We start from the raw sequence: 22,982 nt of genomic DNA on the forward strand, positions 1-22,982 counted from the left end.
TCAAAATGATCAAAATGTTCTCGGTGGCAGATTGGGATTCAGTTTCCAATTCAAATTCTCTTTAATATATGGCTTCTCTGACATCTCGCATTTCTACCATCCATGTTGAATTCCAAACACCCTGCTTTACATCTTTACCATGCATCAACCAGTCTGATCATGGTAACTGCTTTTTAGCAATCCTGCACAGTACACAGAAATGCCAAATTGAGTGGGGATTTTAACACAGGAAGATTATGTCAGGTGGGAACTCTTTATCTACCCTTAAGTAAATATTTTCAAACCACCCACTACAGTGAATGACATTCTTTGAGAATGAGAAATGCTGTTAGCCAAAAGTCCTACACCCTCAAAAAAAAAAAAAAAAAATTCCCTCTCCCAACCCTTTAAAACATTGATGTAGGAAAAAGGTCCAGGAGCATTATTATCAGGAGCAATAAAATTCTGAAGAGAAAGTAGAGAAGCCTGTAGAGAGTTTGCTTTATTTCTATGAAGTAAAAAGTTTTACAAAGAAGAGGAAAAAGATTTCCACTTAACCGACAACCAAAATACAGTCAGGAATCTACATGAAGCAGTGGGGGATATCTTTCCACATGATATATCTTACATGTGTTTTTATATGCAGATAATGTCAGCAATAAAAAAGACATCATATTTAACTGCCTGGTTTCTCTTTCTAAATTTTCCATTTAGTTAAAAAACTGTGCTTTCATCCACAGTTAAACAACATGAAAAATTCCAATAATATAGGCTAAAGGCTATGAAATGGAAACTTAGGAAATACAAATAATTTCTATGCACTAAGCACCTATTGTTCAATTCATCCTGTATTGAGTCTTTACTTAATGCCCTATGATTAGTTTAAGGCTTACCCACATTCCTAAAGATTTTAAAACTGGATATGTTCCTAGCACCCCAATCGAAAGTTTACAATTAAACTTAACATCTATGCTCTCAAATGAGTTCTTCTACAAGGCTTCCAAATCTCTGACCATAATACCACATTTTATCCAATATCCCAAACAAAAATCTAGAAGTCTCCTTTGACTTCTCCTCCTACTGTCATTACACAATGCTTTAACAACATTGCTGCCTAATCTCTCATCCTTGACTCATTCTTTCTACCATAACCACCCCCCCCAGGAACACTTATCACTTATCATCTCAAGTTTTTAAAATTGTAAGAGCCCCCTTAACTTACTCCCTAAAAACGCGCCATTTTCCACATCATCTGGTATCCTGGTTTTCTGAGACAGATAATATGTAAGTAACCTACTTCAAAACTCCTAAAGGTTCCCAAATTAAATAACACAATGCATTTATATTTCTTAGTCTGGCACTCAAATTGTTCCACAGTAAGGCCTCAAAGTACAATTTCAGGATCATCTCAGATGTTTTCAGTGGAAAACACTGTGTTACAGTCAATATTTACTGCTAGTTCACAAGAACATGTTTTCCAGTGCCAGTCCCTCTACCCAGAATGCCCTTTACTTATCTTCCACTATCCAAATGCTACCCACCCATCAAGAGTCCGATGGAACTTCCCATCCTCCTCAGCACATCCCCTGACCATTAAAAGGCAGCCACGAGGCTGCCCTCCTCATTCTACACATTAAATTCATGTCATTCATATGGCACTTTATACCTCACTATTTTTGTTTTTTTGACAATATTTGATGAGACCTGCTAGACTTTGATCATGGTATTGGCTACAGAGATCCAATCATGAGTGAGCAAAAGGAAAGGGGTCCCTAAGTACATCAGTCTCATGGAGGAGACAGATGTTATGAATGCAGTTATATTTTGAAGGAGCAGGGTGATTAGAAAAAGCCAAGACCCTAAGGCATGAGAGATCATGGTATGTTAAAGCAAGTGAAAGAAAACCAGTGTTGCTAGAGTTTAGTGAGCAAAGGAGAGTCTTATGAAGGACTGAAGGGGGTGAGCCCAGCTAAAAGCCTAGGAGCAAGCAGGGCCTTGGAGCTGTGATGAGGCAGCTGGAATTTATACCGCAAGAACAGGAAGCTGCCAGTGCCAGGGGGAGCATATTCTGACTTACTGTGTCATACAGTCACTCTGGCTTCTGTGTGAAGACTGCCTTGGAGAAGGTAAGCGTTCATGGAGGGAGATCAATAAGTAGGTTTTTTATAGAAGTACACGAAAGAGAAGATGGTGACAGAGACAAGTGGTGGCAGTGAGAATAAAGAAAAGTGTGGGGCATTCAAAGGCTATGCAATAAAATATGAATAACGGAATCTATTTATATACATATTACAAACAAATTTCAGACATACAGATTTCTATTCACTGCATTTCCAACAGCACAAAAATCTTTGAGACCATTCTCTTGTTATGCATATACTTACTGATAGTAGGCATTACATAAAGATCTTTCAAAAACTTTGACCTAAATAACTCCGGAGGAAAAAAAAAAAACAGTAAAACAAAATCAATGAATTCTCTTCTGTACTAGAAAATAATTGCCATTTGGCCTTTAGGTATTTTTGGGGAGGGGGGGTGGGGAATAAGAAGAAAGCTGAAAGGAATAAGAATGTAAAAGCGTGCATCTATTCAAGAAAAAATACGCGAGGGTGGAAAGAGCAGGAAGTCTAATGCCCAGAGACAGAAGTATACTCGGAAGAGCTGGCTTTGCCTGCTGTGGATCAAGGAAGGAGGTGAGTGATAAAGAACAAATTTGGAGTGGCAGTCAGGGGATATTTCATTTAAGGTCACTTAGAACAGGAAAGGACTGTGATTTTTTTTCCCCCTTAATGTGAAGGGAAGCTGCTGGAGGAGGTAGCATGGCAACATGAGAGTAGCCATGGTATCTCCATATGTATAAAAAAGACTAATGAAAATCCAGGGGCAATCAGCAATACGTAAATAACCAGGTGGGTAAAATTTCTTCCTAACGAAGGTACAAGTAATTACCTACTTGCTGTTTTGTTGTTTAATACAAGGACAGATTCTGTGTCATCATAGCTAAATCTATGACTCCAAATCAAGCAACAATAAAGAAAAACAACAAAATATTTTCTCAGTTTAGGGCTCAGAAAACAGAAACTGGAGAGCAAAAGAAAGTTATGTGCCTATAACAAGGATAAATTATATCCTAAAGTGTAAAAGTCACTGTATTTATATACCTTGTAAGAGATGAGAACACATCTATAGGCCATAATTTCTCTAAAAACAAGTATCAGAGCTAAAGTAAAGCCTGTACAAGAAGAGACTGTTGTATATTTATATTTGAGGAAAGCCGCCATATTTTCTGCCATATTATTTAATTTCTGTCCAGCTCTCCGTCCCCAAATTCTCACTTTTAATACTGAAATGTTACAATATTTCCCTTTTTTTCTAAAAATTAATAATCATGAACTAAACACAATCTATGCTGAGGAGTGACAAAGTATTATTTATCTGTATTCATTTGTGTTGACCTTATACTTGGTTTTAATTCTTGTCAGATTATATTATTTCCTAGAAAGAGGGAAAACATCATTTATCTTAACCCAGATGGGAAAGCAAGCAATTTCTGTGGTACTATCATAAACTTTGAACAAGCCGGTTTTGATCGACACATTAATAAATAATTACATATTATTATTTGCTTTATTTGTAAGGCTTCTACATAACATTTTATGCATTTTTTTGTTTTCTATATATTTCCATGTTTGTATTCTTAGTAACAGTCAGGTTCCTGATCATGCTTTACTGGTCAGCAGAATGTATATTAGCTAGCTTTTTAAAAGATGTACTGCTTAAGTGGCAAATAATTTATGCTAACTGCAAGACTAAACACAAAAACTCACCTGTAAGTCATATAGTGGTAGAGAACCCTGCTATTAATGACTCTCTTGAAGATGAAGTGGAGGGGAGAGTGGGAGAGACTCAAGAACTCAAACTAATGAAGTAATGTCCCACTACAACACTTCTATTGCCATCCTTACTCATTATACCACTAAACACTCTGATTTATCTCCCTGCCCTCACTGATTGATTCCAATTTGTCAACTATAGAGCTTCTGTTCAATTAACATTCTATAAGACTCTCCCAGTGTAACTTTTTAAAGCCAAATTAGTGCTTAATAAGGGGTTTCAATGAAATAGTTGCTATTTCATTGCAGTTAGAAAATAGGTAGACTATTTTTTATTTGTTAGGAAACATTTTTTATTCTTACAGAGTTTAAAATCAAAACCTAAGTCAAAATTCTGTGTCATGATACTCAATAATTCTACATTTCCTATAGAATTAAATTATGAGATTCTTAAGTACTGAGACTATGTATGCGATTTTTTTGGCATTTGTCTTTATTGAATACTTAACATCATAATATGCACTTGCCTATTACCTCATTAAGAACTCAATAAAGGCTGCTAGCTGATTTTTCAATGAAGTTGCAAATAAACCCAGAAAGACTAAAAAATCTTAGTTCAAATGGACACTGTTTCTTTATTTTTGGTTTGGGGTAAGAGAAAGAAAAATGATTAACAGATAGGGGAATATAAACTACGAAGACACTCGGGCCATGTAGTAGATAGGAGTCCCTTGGTAGACGGAAATGGGTCCAAATTACATTTATCACAAACTCCAAGAGAAGAGAATTGAAACTTAGAAAACGTGTACAGGCCTACTGTCAACAATCTGAAATAAAATTCCCTTGAGTTCAGCACAAATAATTATTAATGATGCAAATGATTCTGCTTCCTCTTTGATCCTTTTCAAATTCTTAAGACGAAAGCTTCATCAAAAGCAAACCCCCAATATTTACTCCAAAGAGCAGTGACCAGTACCCTACCCACTCAACACACAAATTGCCTAGGAAAATAAACTGAGAAACCTTTAGGGAAAGAACTCTCATCGCATTTTTATTTTAAAAACAAACTGAAAGAAAATAAATAAAATGAAAAAAATCAATCTGACAAACACAACTGCTGCACTTTACTATCCTTATGGAGTAGCTATAAGGAAACTCAGAAAAGGAGAAAATTAATAGAAAAAAGTATTTGGCATAATGGTGTACAGAAGTGGATCAAGTAGAGTTTCAGTAATTATATGAAGTCCCAGTCAATATTCATATTAGATTTAAAAGCCATAATTTTTCTACTACTCTTAAATAAACATAGATACTATCTTTTTTTTAATACTTTTCAGCTTTGAAAATGTATGTTTAATGGACTATATGAACAATTCAAATGAGTGTCTAGTTTCTGGTTGCACCAAAATATACTATCTGAAATAAGAACATCTAGCACTCTTTTGCTCATTTAGAATTTAAATATGTACCAGACATCTTGAACACTGAATCACCTGAATTACAAGTAGATAATATGAATGAGAGGAGACTCCAAATGTTTCTTTTATCATACTCAAGGGGAGCAAAGTAAAATTTTTAAATATGAGAGATTTGGAGACTCCTCCAAATTTGACACATTTGGTATCCACTGGCTGCATGGGCTTTTTTAAATATTTAGGGGTTTTGGGGGGTAAAATTAGTATGTGATTCAGTGTGTTCTGAAATGTTCATTATATTTCAGTTTTTAGAAAACATAGCTGTTTAAATTACATTCTCCAAGATAATTCCAAACTTCCTGTCAAGATGACCAGTTTTCACAATAGAAGAAAAGGGATCTCAAGTCACCATTAAGAAAAAGGATCTTTATATGAATTCATGAGCCTAAAAGCTGTGCTAGGGAAACTAGTTAAAAATCAATACTGCATGGTATTAAACAGCTTGCTAAAGGTCTCAAGCTAGAAATTCCATGGCCCTTAGCCACCAACTAGCAAAACCTTGCTTCTTATATAAAAACACCAAAAAAATTCAGATTTAATTTTATGTACAAAAAGATTAGAGTACCGGAATAGAATACTGGTCAAATCAATATTATTTTTCAAATGAAAAATATTTACACCAAACTGAAAAGTCACCCTTAATAACCCACTTGACAAAGGAAAGAGTCTGGTGTAGACACCACAATTGTCATCATCACTTCCTTTATGCCAGCAAACTTGACTCCATCTGTAGGTGAGAAGAAATATGTGGTTCATTGCTCATCCCCTACATATGCCAGGGTCAGTCCCACTCCTCTGATTTCAACTAAACAATTTTATTTGTTGATTTTGAGAAAAGTACTGAATTTCTTCATGTAAATATTGTGCTAGGTGCTGAAGCAAACAAAGATGAACAAGACAGGCTCTGATAGGACATAAACTACAATTACAGTAAAAGCAGAATCTGAAAAGTTCTAATAGGTTTTGAATGCTTTCCTTCTTCATATGCATAGTAAATAACTGACATAAAGCAAGTGATTCCATGAACAGTTCACCATTGACCAAATAAGCTACGATCCTACTGATTACCTATGATTCATACTGTTACTTGACTTAGTATGGTAACACCCTTCTCCAATAGTACCATATTCCAAACTCTGTATGTCCTTCAGGATTAAGTTGTACCTTCTCTTGACATTATTTCCTCAGTTACTATCTTATCTGAATAAAATAAACAACTAATTCTGAGTAACACTGTTTACGCTCTGGAGTCCTGTGTACAAAAGCTCTCTACTGGACATACTAGCTGTTTATCCAATAACCAGTGATGCATTATTATTATTATTATTATTATTATTTTGATAGTTGTGGTAGGTACTGCCCTCTTTATCCCTAACTGGATAAGACCAAGGAAGCATGTAGTCATATTTCTCTCCTAAGACTAGGTGGTAGGCCTGGCTTAGGATAGAAGCCAAAATCATAGACTACAAAGTGAAGAATTGGAAAGAACGTGGATCTTTAATGACTTGATCAACAAATCCTGAAGCCTATCCTGTACTACCCAGTCACAAAAATTAGTAAATATTCTTATGTATAAGCTAGTTTATATTGTCTTACAACGGAATGACATCTGTTTGAATTTCTTATGATGTTAAACACCAACTCTGAATAAGGTTGGGTAACTACCCTGAGTAAGGTTAGGTAAAGTGATTGATACTAACCCCCATTTATAGCTAGAGGTCACTATTATTCATTAGGAACAGACTAAAATATTAACTAAATACTTCTGTGTCCAGAGCATTTTGATAATGACTAGTAATTGACACTAAAATTTAAAACTCAAGCCATTAACAATGACAAACCAAAAACTGTGCTTTCAAACTGAAGTACTTAAAATGTAACTGTAGTTTCACAGGTAAAAATGATAGATATAAAACTATAACAATTTGCAATAGAAATTGAGTGTGAGGTGTAGGAATCAGAGAATTTTATAGAAGTTTTACTTAGGTCAGCTGGTTCGAGATGTAAGTGGGTCTTCGGTTTAGACAGATGGAAACAGACGGAGGAGATCACAGCTGAGGTGAGGATTGGCAAAATAATCTGTAGCATAATTAGATTACAAAGTTGGTGCTTTCAGTTTGAAGCTTGGTGCATTCAGTTTGAAGCTTATAAATACTACTTCGACTTGTATTTCAAATTTTTTACACTTCAATTTTGTAAAACACTGAGCAAAAATATCTGCTCTGCATCTCATCTCTATAAAAACTTCTTTGTCAATAGAGATTGGCCTCCATAAGCTGAATACATTATCGTTATTCAAAATGATCAGGAAGCAATGCTAAAGTCATAGCAAAGTAATTTCTGTTTCTCCATACTTTTTTTTATTCTTCTGGCTGTGGGAAAACATAGATCAATACTCTTCAGCATGAAAATTCTGCAATGAAATTTTCATTTGTAACAAACAGCAACAAAAAAGCCTTAAGCATGCCCTGTCACTTTCAGTTTAGGAGAAAATGCACTAATAAACTCTTACCCTTGGGTCATCTTTGACAACAGGCAATACCATGCCAGCTCTTATTAAAGACTATTCATATCACTGCCCCCAAAATTTCCTTTAAAATTACCATCTTTTGTATCCATGTAACAGGATGTCAGCTTTAAAAGTGCCAATGAGAGATAGGACCTGTCAGCACAGTTAATTCTCAGCACTGTTTCAACACCAAGACAGCTGACCCCCGAGAGTATGTTTTTGGTTAGTAATATTTATTTGGTGGTTATCTCTACAAACAAGAAAACTTATTCCTCTGTATTGGTTTTCAAATAAAACAGCAAGCAAAGTATCACCTGTACGTATTAAATATAGAACAACCTAAAGTGTGTTGAAAGAAAAATAAAATTGTCAAAACTATCAAAATATATTTCTAAAATGATAGCAGATTCTGGATAACAAATTCAAAATGCCATCATCTTTCAACTCAACCTTTCCAACATAAAAATCACAAAACTTATGGCAGGACTTTCTTTAAAAAAAGGAAAAATAAGGCCGGGAGTGGTGGCTCATGCCTGTAATCCCAGCACTTTGGGAGGCTGAGACGGATGGATCACAAGGTCAGGAGTTCAAGACCAGTCTGGCCAACATGGAGAAACCCCCTCTCTATTAAAAATACAAAAATTAGCTGGGTGCGGTGGCACACATCTGTAGTCTCAGCTACTTGGGAGGTTGAGGCACGAGAATCACTTGAACCCAGGAGGCAGAGGGGGCAGTAAGCCGAGATCCTGCCACTGCATTCCAACCTGGGTGACAGAGCGAGATTCTGTCTCAGAAAAATAAAAAAAAAAAAAAAAGGTCAAAATTTTCAATGAAATTTAAGGATCCTCTTTCTTATAAATTTTATTGAAATAATTATTAATTTAACAAGTAATACTGCTGGAAGAGCATTGTAATGTAGTTGTCTCCAGGTAAGGAAAACCAGGCTTTGATAAAATAATAAAATCTACTTATCAATTAAGATAAACAAAAGAGATCCAGTAATGACAAAATGATTCTCTTTTAAAATAAACAGGCAGAAAATGTTCGCATGAAAGAAGAAACTATACATATAAAGGGAGCACCTGGATAAAAGCATAAACAGGTCTTCTACAATCTTTTGAGAAATACATCAAGAGTGACTTTTCTGGAAAAAAATGTATAGATAACTATATAGAACATATATAACTATGTATTATACATCACTGTTATTCAAAAGCATTCTAGGTACACTATTAAGATACCATCTCCTTCACTGGTTGCAAATTGTGAACGCATATATGGTAAAGAAGATCCAGTGAGCATGATAATTCAATAGCACGCCCACGTTCCTGTAGCCATAGCATATTAATCACCCTGAAGATTACCCAAGGACACCTTCAGGCTTTCAAAATTAGGCTCAGGTGAGAGAGATGCTGGAATGGGACTTAACAAAGATGCATGTGTGAACATGTGATAAATTGTTTCTCTGCCTAAATACGGAAGTCAAATACTATCATATTTTCTTAATTGAAACTGGGATCTCATGAACTTGTGCAGGTGATATGAGCTGAATACGGAGACATCAGACAAGTTACACTGAAAATAGTCGTATTTAATCTATAAAGTTTTTTTAAAAAATGAGTGATAGAGTCTTCCAAGACTAAAGTTTACAAGAGGTTGATCGCATCATCCAATAATGGTAATGCGAGGGAAAACTGTAGTGGAAAAGAATGAGCTCACCATTAAGAATCAAGAAACAATGGGTTCTATTCTGGCTGTCAATCATTAGATTTAATTTGCTCTGGGTAAATTATCATAAAGTGTGAATTTCAAATTTCTTTTCGTTAAAAATATCAAAGGTTAAAGTATTAAAAACAAGACAATATTGAATAATATATGTAAAAGATATTTGATGCCAAGCATTATAAAATATGGACATATCTCATATTCTCCTTCCAGCCCGTAGGCCTCGGCATGTGCTGTGTTCTCTGCTTGCTGGTGTTTCTTTCTCTTGCCCCTGACTCTACATCCATACCCCTACTTGGGCAACTTTCTCTCAACCTTCAGATCCTTACTCAAAGAAAACTCACTTGCAAATGCCTTCCATGATAGTTTTACAGTCTCAGCCCCAGTTTAGATATTTTTGCTAAAGTCTCTCACACTTCTCCTCGAAGAGACTTAAACAGGTTACGATTATTTTCATTTGTGTCAATATTGATTGATGCTTGATATCCTACTCAACGGAGCTGCTTTACCTCTAGATTTTCATATGGCTGAAGTCTCTATTTTTATTTTTAAGCTTTCAGCTCAGTTGTTACCTTCTCAGAGTGGTAACCTTAAGACTGGTTCCAGAACACCTTAACTAAAATATCAATTTCCATCGTTTTGTGTCTATTTTTCCTTCATAGCCCATACCATGACTTGATACTACATTTTTAACACCTGTCTATATAGTCTGCCTAACATAATTCAATATGATGCTCCATGTGGGTAGGGACATTGTATTACATTTACAATCGTATCTCCAATATCTACAACCTAGAACAGTGCTTACAATATAAGAGGGACTCTATACATCTTAAATGAATGTAATATGTGTTTTGCACTTGTACTTTTCCAGTATTCACTACAAATATGTACTGATATGTCATAATCCCTGACATTCTTCTAGTAACTTTAGTATCCAAGAATATTAGTGAGGACTGTTTGGTAGTTCTAACTTTCTAAGATTCTATAAGAGACATGCATCAGTGAAAATTCACTATTGGGTTTTGATACCAGTAAAATTTGTAGGACTATATGGAAATAGAAACTTGGACCTTGACTTCATTGCCACAATGCTTCAAAGAAAAGTAGTATCCGCAGAACTGTTTTAAACGGGAAGAACTAGATCTAAAGTTAAAATACAAACGAGGTGATGACAATGTGGAATAAGGTATTTGATATATTTAGTCCACTTAGAGCATTATAAAATAGATTTCTTTCAATGGCAAACACTTACTAGAAACTTCAAAAACTTTACAAACTACAGTCTTAATTTCACCTTCACACATTCTGAGAAATTGTATGATGATATATTTTTTATAGTGACTTGACATCAGAAACACTATGGTTTAAAAATCAATCAAAATATCTACAGAGTTGCTTTTGTTCTAATAAAGCCATGCAATTTCGTGAAGTGAAAACAATTTCACCTTACCTCTCACAATAAGTTGAGCAAAATTGGACACACCGGAACCTCGTTCTGACTGAGTTACACAGCGATACAAATCCTGGTCAGTTTTTGTCACTTCTTGCAATCTGAAGGAAGCGGCAAACCTTCTATGATTGATGTTCTTAGTCTGGGCTACTGGTATATCTTCTCCATTTCGTCTCTGCAAACAGAAACCAATCTTTAAAAACAGGTTCTTACTATTTTCATAAATCTATAAAGCATCTTAGCAAGCAATATCTGTGATAAATTATTCTTGTTGCAAAAGAGCCACAATTTTTTTCCATTGTCAATCAGGAAAAGAATGTAAGTAAATACTGGTATCCTCGAAAGCAGTGGTCCTCAACCTTTTCGGCACAAAAGACCAGTTTCCTGGAAGACAATTTTTCTATGGAACAATGAGGGGATGATTTCAGGATGAAACTGTTCCACCTCAAATCATCAGGCATTAGATTCTCACAGGCACTCACAGCCTAGATCCCTTGCATTCACAGTTCACAGTAGAGTTCGTGCTCCTATGAGAATCTAATGCCACAGCTGATCTGATAGGAGGCAGAGCTCAGGTGGCAATGCTTGCTCACCCACTGCTCACCTCCTGCTGTGTGGCCCTGTTCCTGACAGGCCACAGACCAGTACCAGTTTGCAGCCTGGGGGTTGGGGACCCCTGCTCTAAAAGGTGTAGGGCTGACACTATGGTAGTAATTCTCAGTTCTCCATAAATTGCTACTACACCAGAGTAAATGAATTAACAGGAGAGTTAATGGGTCCAAGGCAAATGATTCATTGCCCCCATGCTCTCAGAGTAATATATACAAGCTTCTTTTAGCCCTTATGCTGTATTGCCTGTGCTGTAGTATGTTTTTCCCCACCAGAAGAGTAAGAGCATTGCCTGTGCATCTCTGTATTCCAAATGTGTAGCATGTGCTGGCCACAGAATGATAATAAACTAATGATGAATAATTTAGAGTCAAACCAAAATCTGTACTCTTTGCAAACAACTCTCTCTTTGGCATTAATGACAGCCAATTTATACATTTTAGAGAATTAGTCAAAAGAGCCTAAACTTTGAAAGCATACCTGTCAAATTTCAAAATGAAATACTGGAAGCCATATTTATGATATCAGCATATCCCAGACAAGAGTAATAAGTATAAACTAATAGGAAATGACTGAAAAAAATTCAACTATAAAAAATTTATAACCTCTATATGTTCAAAGACATCATATATAAAGGGGAAAAAACAAGTCACAAATAGTGATAAGTCATTTGTCAAGGAAATACCCATCAAGGAATAAATAGCCAGAATACGTAAAGATCTTCTATATGCAATTAGAAAAAAAGATAACTCAATCAAAAGTGAATAGGGTATAAAAAAGAGAAAGTGTATGTCTAACAACCATGAAATGAGATTGTCAATCTAAATTTTAAAACTTCTATATGTCAAAGACAGCAAAAAGGACAAAGAAAACCCACAACGCTGAGAAAGAATTGGTCATGATCCACAACCTCATTTCTTGTTGGTGAAATTCTAACTACCCCTGGTATCTTTCATATTACTTGAAATATCACTTCATAGGGCTATATATGGGAAACAAAAATGATAACATTCCTGTTGGAAGTGTAAACTGCTAGAGTGACTTTAGAAAATGATTTGTTACTATCTAGTAAAGTTGAGGATGCATAAACCTCAGGACCCGGCAATTCTACTTCTAGGTTTCCACATTTGAACCACCAGTGTATGTGGGATCAAGGAGATACGTACAAGATGTTGAACTCTAAATTATCTGTGATTGTGAAATATGGAAAATATCCAAATATTTCTGAGTAGCAAATAAATAAACTGAATTTTATTCATTCAGTAAGATACGATGGGACAGTTAAACTAGGCAAGGAAAAACCAGCAATGTATTGGTAAAATTTGGAACTGTTAGTTCTCCAACAAGAAACATAAAATGCCATTTTGTAGTATTTGTCCATTTCTGGGGTGTAAATACTCCACTATAGCAACTTCAGTTTATCAGTGTGATATCAAAGTTCCTGAAAACTTAACAAATTTCTGGCACTCATTGGTTCCAGCATTCCACTGATTAGTACTACATGTATGCATGTTTAAATGTTAATTTAAAAATTCCTTAAGGATAAGATGACATGAGACAAAAATATAAACTGTTAACTTCTATTAAATTAGGGTGGTGGTACATTAATGGCTATTTTATTGTTTTCTATGATTTTTTGTACATTTGAAATTATATTTTTAGAGTAAATAATAAAGAGGATACTCTATTGCTTTAATAATTTTCTAAATCCTGGCCAGGCGCGGTGGCTCACGCCTGTAATCCCAGCACTTTGTGAGGCCGAGGCGGCTGGATCACGAGGTCAGGAGATCAAGACCATCCTGGCTAACATGGTGAAACCCCGTCTGTACTAAAAATACAAAAAATTAGCCAGGCGCGGTGGCGGGTGCCTATAATCCCAGCTACTTGGGAGGCTGAGGCAGGAGAATGGTGTGAACCCAGGAGGTGGAGTTTGCAGTGAGCCGAGATCACGCCACTGCACTCCAGCCTGGGTGATAGAGCAAGATTCTGTCTCAAAAAAAAAAAAAATAATAATAATAATAATAATTTTCTAAATCCCAAATACACTGTATCTTTAAATACCTTTCTCCATATCTTAAATCATGCATATGCATATTATGTAGTAAATACATATATGTTTCTGCATATGCATACAAAAATACCTAAGGACATCAAATCCAAATCAGGATTTTGCTATTTTTTATTCATTACTTTTGTTAATTTTTCTCTGCTTACCAACCTATTTCAGGATTTTTGCAGCAAGATCCCCCACTCATTCCCTTGGATAATAAGGAACTGAAAAAGCAGCTTATATCCAAAAATATAAATCCATAAAATCAGCCAAAACTCTTTCCCTACAAACCACATAAACCAAAAAAAAAAATTATACATGCAAACCTCAGACTGCGTTTTTTTCAATTAGCACATCATTTCCATACAATCTTCCTAATTGGAAGGCCCACCACGCTGCTTACTTTTGTTATACAACCTTATCTGGGCTTCCTCTAGCTTATCTCTCCAGGTGTGTTCTCAAACTCTCTCCTTGCTCCCTGCCATATGTATTTCTCAGTTCTTCTGCACGACTAGCCAATTCCCACTGCCTGTACTGACTTCCAAATTCTCTTGCACATGTCCACACCCACTCAAGTCTTCTCACACTATGCCTTTCAAAACCCTTCTCTTGTGAAGAGATTCTGAGTATCCTTAATGTTTCCTTCTCAATAATCATTATTCCATCTTTTCACCTTTATTGGCATTCCTCTCACAACACTACTATCTCAAAGGAGGGTACATTTTATGGTACCTTACACCCTCTTTCAGGGACAGCTACCATTTTCCTGGTTCCTAACTTGAAGACAACTCTTCCACTTTCCCACTCAATCACCTCTCAACTTTTGGAATTCGCAGGGTGCCCACATATCATTCCCATCACTGGGAATATTCACAGACCAAATTATCCTCCCTAACCCAGTCCTGTGAATATTCCCATTGATCCTCAAACTCACTTTGGCCTCAGTGATCCCCAACAGCCTCCCTTACCACCTTACAACATCCAAGTTCCTGTGCTGTGACAGTTTCCTCTCGAATCATAACAGCCCGTGCAATTCAGTCTCTCACTCCTTCAATCCTCTACATTGGCAGTGAGACCTCATTTTGTGACCCTTATCTTTACAGGAGTCATTTCAAAGAGACATTCTCTAGCCTGAAAGGGCTCCAGATTCTTTCAACTTTCTATTGTTTATGCATTGCCAATATTGAATTTGCACTATCTTATCAACTATTCTAAAACTACTGACATTTGCAGAAATCGGTCATTTGTTCTTATGAAAAATGTCTGTGTTATCTAAAAATGGAGATTAAAAACTTGCAGACATTCCTACTTGATTTCCACGTGACCTGATCTATGGTATCTAGCTCCTTCCCCTCTGCCTCAAGTTCGCATTCCATCAGCTCATATATACTCTTCCCTTTCTACTCCTGCTGACAGGGTCATGGATACTGCCTCAAAAACTCTATAAAAGATTATAAAAACTTATTAACTGACTTTTCTATCTTAAATCTTTTCTACTATGATATATTTATCAATGTCTTTTCATCTGTTTGTATACTGAAATCATTCTGAAGGTAGGGTTTCATGTCTCATTTATATATATTTTTTCCTCCATAATATTTAATATATATTATCTTTATTTAGCGGGTGGCTCAAGTACTTTGTTAAAATGAATTAAATTCACTGAACATTTTAGAGACAAGAGTCACATAAATCCTCCTTAGGCTTTTATTAAGTTATAATAAAATACACATTAATCATCAATCCAAATTAATAATAAAGGGAGGTTACAAAAATATTGAATTTCAAGGACACCAAGAGATCACTGACACCAAGCTATTTCAGAAATAATTATACCACAACTCAGAGAGGCTGAGGGGTATACTTAAACTCATCCAGGCAAGATATCACCAAGCTGATATATTACATGATGCTTATATGTGTGTGTATTAATATACTAATATAACTATAAATACATATGCTTATATAGGATGTATATTATATAATTAATGAGTACAAAAGACTTATGTGATATTTATTTCTTGAAATAAAATAACAAAATTAACAGTCATAATATTCAGGTTTATCTTCAATAATCATTTAATAAGCACCTCCATGTACCTTATATTATGTGAGCTGTTACTGGTTCTGTGGCTTCTCTCTCTTATGAACTTTTCTGATACAGTCATATCCAATTAAAGTTCAGAAAGATTAGAAATGTGATGCACATAGCCTGTTAGCAGGACTAAAATTCAAAACTAGGTTTGATGACCTAAAATACAGCAGACTTTCCTCTAAACTAAACCAAAGCTGTTATGTTCATTTTGGTTACAGTTCCTATCCAACAAATTGATTATTTAGTATTGAGGTTTAATCAAGGCATCGTTCCAATGGGCTAATATAATCTATATTAGACATTGCTTTCTTTACTTGGCTTCCAACGATTCATTAGAGCTAAAGGTAACAATTGAAAACATTTAAATTCTAGAAGTCAAAAATAACTTTTCCTTTTATAGGCTCTTTATTCTGCTTTGAGTTTTTATATATGATTTCTCCATTGCAAATGTATACCCACCTCTGAGAAGTACTGAAAAATGAATCACACAAATATATGATCCAAGGGATTATAACCTAGCACTACTTTTTTTACCTGCTTTCCATCCCGCCCTCCAATCCATCTCAGGCTTCTGTATTTATTTTGTCTCCAATACAAGTTGCTGGATAAAACTTGTCACTTACCAAGTAACCCTGGGCAAGTCACTATAATCCTCAATGTTATCACTCCTCTCCTCTACTATACTAAGTCAGCTTCATCATGCACAGTGCATGCAGTATTCATTTGACAAGTTTCATTCCTGGTGGAATATAGTGGTAATAAAGGTTGATTCTCCAACATCTATTTTCACCAGCCAGGCTATTAACCAAACACCTTGCCATGTGGTCTACAGACCAGTAGCATCAGCATCAACTGGCAGATTGTTACAAATGAAGAGTCAAGAGATCACTTTAGATATATTGTATCAAAATCTGCATCAAGATATTACACGTGGAGACACACTGGGCCATTAACACTAGGTTAACCTGAGTCTTCTTTCCATTAACAGTGACATGTTTTTAAAATGGGGTATCGGTCCATATTCTGGCCAAGGAGATATGATAGGAATTGGTCAAGTTATTTCTAAAAAGGTTTCCTCACTTCTAAGGAGACATAAGAAAATGGGTTCCCTTTGCTTTTTCTTACTGTCATGCCAAAACCTGGAAGAGCTGATTCATCACCATAAGGCAGTCCAGTCTAAGGGAAATGCTGATGCACTCAGGATGGCATATCAGGCAGAGAGACAGAGGAAGTTACTTATCAAATCTCTGAAATGACACCAACAATTACTAGAGCCCAATTCTCTTTGGACTTTTTGTTAAATGAAATAATACATTTGGTTTTCTATTACTTTCAGCTTGAAAGTATCCTAAAAGAAATATGGTATAATTAAAATATGTTACACTTTACTTCAGAGTCTCTTTTCAAAGTTTGAGGAATAAAATCAATCCAGTTTCATTTCAGACTAAAAAGAGCTGCACTGACAATACATGTCGAGATTATTTCAAGGCTATTGACTTGAAAATAATCAAATTACATTTATTTATATATTTATTTCTTCATTGACTTTCATATATCATTGACTATCATATGTCATTGACATAATGATATATGATTCTCTCATCTTCTTAAAATTGTAGGACTCAGAAAGAGCCTATTTTCTTATGTTTGATATTTAGGTCCCTGTTGAACAGCATCAAGAAGACTGCATATGAGTTGTCAAAATGAATTCCAAAGTGAATTTGCACAACTACGACCAAGTGAGGCTGACGTGAAATTTACAACATTCCAGCCAAATTAATCCCAAGGAACTGAGAGTTCCTTACTAGAGCTTGTCTGCTTTATAAGATTTGTATGAATTTTTTTCAGTCTCACAGGATGATAAAGATACTATCATCATCACAATCACCATTATTGAAGAACAAAATAATTCTATAATTCCAAAAACATGAAATCATTTTAAAGACAATTTTAAAAACATGAAAGTATTTCACAGAAAACTTAAATTTAGAAATTTCTAAAATTAAAAAATACTATGTTATTATTTTGAGAGAAGCACTGTTTCTTATTTATGGCCATAGAAATTATTATACTTATTTCATTAGAGTAAGTAAATAGTGTTCTCCTAGAAAAAAAAAATATGCTGAAATGACAATAAATTCAAACTATTGACTATCTGGCAATGGAAGGATGGAAGAAGGTAAATGAATACCATTTGACAGAGAGAGAAAGAGGTGGTGAATATTATAATTCTGAAATAAAGCAGGGTAAAGATGTGCTGGAGATAGCAAATACTAGAATCAGATTAATCAAGTGTAACAAAATATAAAGTCAGCTATTCAACAAGAAAAAGAGTTTCACCCTAGGAAGCATGAGTATCTTTGCAATGGAGAGAAAAGGTGACCAATAAGAGGAGCCACACGGACAGAGCAGGTGTAAGTGACAGAACCATGTCTGCTGGGGATGATACCCAGCTTCTAGCCCTGAAGTAACCATTTGTGAGCTGAACAATTTCTCATTACTTCTCAAATCTCTACCTTTTCATCTAACATTGGGTATATGTATTTGTACCAACTTATTCAACAGAGATGATGAGAATACTCTGTGAGATTGCTGTGCAAAGGTATTCATAGCAAATTCTGATAATCACAATATTATGAAGATGATAATCCAAACAATATCTAAGCAAATAATCTGTTTGATAACTGTGTCAGTCTTTTGATGTGTGTACTTGCCTATGCTACAATCTCCAGTTATTTCATTAAATACTAAACTAGGTGACCTTGTGAAGGCATTTTGTGAATGGACTTAAAATCCATAATCTAGTAAATAAGATTATCCTAGATAGTCTGAGTGGACTGGATTGAATCAGTTGAAAGGCTTTAAGACCAGGGGTGAGGCTTCTCCGAAGTAGAAGAAATTCTACCAGTGAACAACAGCTTCAGTCTGTGCATGCATGTTTTAGCCTGCCCTCCCCAAGGGCTTGCCCTACAGACTTCAGACTTGCCTAGCCAATCTGCACAAGCACATAAACCAATTCCTTGCAGTAAATCTCTTCAATTTTGTAAATAAAATCCTACTATATGTAATCTTATAATTATATAGACATATATATATATATATATATATATATATATATATATATTTCAATAAAATCATATCTATCTCCTACTGGTTCTGCTTTACTTTCTTGAGGCCAGAGGGACAGAGATGATTTTAGGACCAGAAGTGCTTCTAGAGAATCAGATTTTTATGGATGAACTTTCTGATTTGGTTCTGATTCTGGGTTTACTGAAATTTATTTTTCAGTCTGATTAGATTTAAAGGTACTTATAACCTCTCTTGCCAGTGGCAAAGAAGACACTACTAGTCCACTACATGATGCAGCAGTAGAGGCATGTAAAATATCACTCTTAGATATACTCCTAATCAAGTATCTATGGAAGGCAAAGTTTTGGTAACCATGTATTTGCTACCTTAGAACATTTTAGTCAAACAAAGAAACAAGAACAAAGAAACAAACAAAGAAACATAATGGGATTGGCTGGTTGCTTCAAACGGCACTGTAGAAAGTGGAAACGTGATGCATATGAGTCCACAACTATAAAACCATGCAATTTATAGAGTGAGAGGGAAGGTGGGTGAAGTCAGAAGACAAATGCAATGAAACCACCAGATCTGAGGGATTCTGGGAAGCTGATGGCAGTAGCGTAGTTTTTTAATCTTTCTGAACCTGCCACATAAAAACAGACTGACTAATAAGAGAGTATGGAAATAGAAGGACTAGACAAAAGTGGGGAAATCCCAGAAATCCCAAAAGGCAAGCTGCCGTATTTTAAAACATAACTCAAAGCAACAGAAGAGGGAAATCTGTAAAATCAGGTAAAGTTTCCTGAACCCCACCTCATTTTAAAACTTCAGGAAAACTTATTTCACATAAAAATGAATAACTTAAAAGTATCAAGATCAAACCCCACATATAGATTTTGTAAGATTAAAAGAAAATAAGGAACAGAGTATAATTCTTAGTGTCAATGAAAGTCAGTCAGAAAAATATGTCCATAAAACAGATCAAAACCGCAACATAATATTTCAAGATAAGCTAAAACATATTACGGAAATGATTCATGAGATGAAACAATATAAACTTAAACAACAAAACTCAGAAATGAAATGACAATTAAGGAAAATTAGAAATTAAAGAAATATCATTATTAATTACTAGAAATTATGAGTTCTCACTCATAAGTGGGAGACAAACAATGAGAACACATGGACATAGGGAGGGGAACATCACACACTGGGGCCTGTCAGGGGATAGGGGGCTAGGGGAGAGAGAACATTAGGAGAAATACCTAATGTAGGTGATGGGTTGATGAGTGCAGCAAACCACCATGGCACGTGTATACCTATGTAACAAACCTGTATGTTTTGCACATGTACCCCAGAACTTAAAGTCTAATTAAAAAAAAAAAGAAAGAAAGAAATAGAGAGGGAAAAAAAAGAAATTATGAGTAACTACAGTAAAGTCAACAGATGATTCCTGAATAATGAGTGAAAAAGGGGTAATTTTTAATGTTTAGAATAAGGAGAATAAAAATATTTGAAAGTGATCAATGATGACAGGCAAAGATCAAACAGAGAAAACAGAAGTCTCTACAGGATCAAGGGTACAGATAAAGTACTACAAATCATAGTTTTTTAAAAAACTTCTGGGTGCGGTGGCTCACGCCTGTAATCCCAACACTTTGGGAGGCCGAGGCAGGTTGATCACGAGGACAGGAGATCGAGACCATCCTGGTGAACATGGTGAAACCCCATCTCTACTAAAAATACAAAAAAAAAAAAAAAAAAATTTAGCTGGGCATGGTGGTGGGCGCCTGTAGTTCCAGCTACTCGGGAGGCTGAGGCAGGAGAATGGCGTGAACCCGGGAGGCGGAGCTTGCAGTGAGCGGAGATCGCGCCACTACACTCCAGCTGGGGTGACAGAGTGAGACTCCATCTCAAAAAAAAAAAAAAGCAAAAACAACAACAACAACAAAAAATTTTCTAAAATAAAAAAAAAGTTTATAAACTACATAATGAAAGAAAATACCACATACCTGATGACAGTATCTCAGAGTGACCTACTGTGATACATATTCTGGTAAGATTAATTAGAAACAATTATTTGCATATCTAGAAAAAATAGGTACAGACAGACACCAAGGCTTTATAGTGACTGACTGTACCTATTCTGTCTGTGAAAGAAAATGAAGTAACATTATTTAAGTTACTCAATTAAAGAAAATGTGAATGAAAGATTTCATATACTGTGAAATTGACTTAAGAATCAAGGGCACAAAAAACTATTATCAACATCTAAGAACTCAGGGAATACTATTCCCATGAGCAGTTCCTAAGGAATTTGAAATGCAAAAAAGGTGTTTCTGACGTACAAAATTACTAGATATGACAGGTGGGCTAATATTGAATATTAAAAACATAGTTACATTTAGAAGTGAGACTAAATAAGAGCTAAGTAGAAGAAAGTATATTATCCATGCAATAGCTATATGCTGACAATGGAGCTTTAGTACAAGTTTCAAAATAAAATGAGATAAAACCAATGTATAATTATGATATATTCTAAATCCACCTTCCTTATGTCACTGACAACCAAGAATATCGGTGTGGAAATAAAATGTAACTGAAAAGTTGTAATAAGATAAACATTGAGTAAAAACCTTTAGGCTTCAACTTGAAATATCCCTATGAACTCATTAGGTATTTTATCATTAAATATATGTGTATGTATTTTTTAGCTCTATTCACTGAAACGATCTAGAAATGAGTATCTCTCAGAACCTGCATCGTTATCTTGAAATATGATTTCTTACTAAAACTAAACAGGACATCATTGAAAAATGACTGATCTCACATCCAGAGGAGAAAGTGAAACATCTCACAGTACCAGGTAGCAAGGAAGCTCTCAAAGCCTACTATAATCATATCAAAAAGAATCAGGAGCAAATTTGGAGAGGTGCCCACTAAGCAAATATGGGACGATTTAAGATTTAATAGAAATAATAATTGCAACAAATTAAACTCCATTAAATATATTTAAATCCATGAGTGTATAATGATATTAAAAGAAAAAAAGAGTAAGTCATCTTTGCAGGATGATAGGGAACCAACTCATTTTAAACTAGTAAATATAGCAAAGATTGGAGCATGTATTTTCCCTTTCCTTAATGAATTGTGTTATTGGGTAACCAAATAGTAGATTAGGGGGAGTATGTATCTTTTCATCAACTAAACAAATACAAAAGAAATAAGACACACAAAAAAATGATAGAATATCACAGTTTTCTACCCCCAGGAATAAATATAGGCATTAATCATCAGAGACTGACAAGATCACAAAAAGAAAGATGACACATTTTGTTCCTCCTGTTATTATACCAAACACCACCTATGGTGTTGCCAAAGGATCAAACTTGACCCTGGATCTGGCTGCCAAGTTGCAGGAAATGGAGAGGAAAGAGGGACATGTGGAACTGAAGAGGGCATTAGTATGCAATCAGCAAAATGTGGACAGGGGAAGCTAGAAGTCAAACATCCTAGGCTCAACAGATAAATTGCGAGGAAAGGAATAAAGGACAAACCTACAGATTAAAAGTGACTTAAAAAGATGTCTAATTTTAAAAACTGGTAAGACTATGGTGTCTAGGGATGCATATATAACTGCAAAAAAACTACAAGGGTTAAAATTCATGAGAGTGGTTATTTGTAGAGGCAGGGAGACAGCTCTGTTATGCCTGGCACAGAGCACATGGACGGCACCTCTGGGATGGCTGGCAAGCTCTCTTTCTTGTCCTGTGTGATGTTTACCCGATATTGAGTCACAATAGTTTTTATTTTTGTGTGGTATTCTATACCTACGTTTTATTTTACAATAAAATAATTTTGTAAATTTTAGATCTTTCTAGCAGACTACTTTTCATAAAGAAGAAACCAGGCCTGCCAGTGATCCATGTTGTAATACTGATCCCAGGAGCTCAATGGGAAAGTTACAAAGTGCTTGACGTGACACACCTAGAAACACACTGAAGGGGCAGCTCTGCAAACAGGAGAGCATATTGTTCTTGCACAGAAAGAGAAGTAAATTATTTCTAGATATCGATAAAAAGCAATCCTTGAACTTCCATGACTGCCAGGCTTGTATAGTCCTGTTCCAAGAATAGATAAGGAAGGTAAAGAATATTATACGCATTATTCATTTATGATCAGTTA

General features: G+C 35.3%; 1 protein-coding gene across 6 annotated transcripts in view; it reads right to left on the reverse strand.

Moving 5' to 3' along the window:
• PTPRK (protein tyrosine phosphatase receptor type K) overlaps window positions 1–22,982 on the reverse strand; it is a 551,815-nt gene that overhangs the window by 239,163 nt on the left and 289,670 nt on the right. For all 6 annotated transcript variants that reach the window (NM_001291984.2, NM_002844.4, NM_001135648.3 and 3 more), the window contains one exon: window positions 10,975–11,149. In NM_001291984.2, the coding sequence (NP_001278913.1) occupies window positions 10,975–11,149 (175 nt within the window). The remainder of the gene's footprint in view (window positions 1–10,974; window positions 11,150–22,982) is intronic.

This window comes from Homo sapiens, chromosome 6, assembly GCF_000001405.40.
Source record: "Homo sapiens chromosome 6, GRCh38.p14 Primary Assembly".
In the NCBI taxonomy this organism is placed as follows: Eukaryota; Metazoa; Chordata; class Mammalia; order Primates; family Hominidae; genus Homo; species Homo sapiens.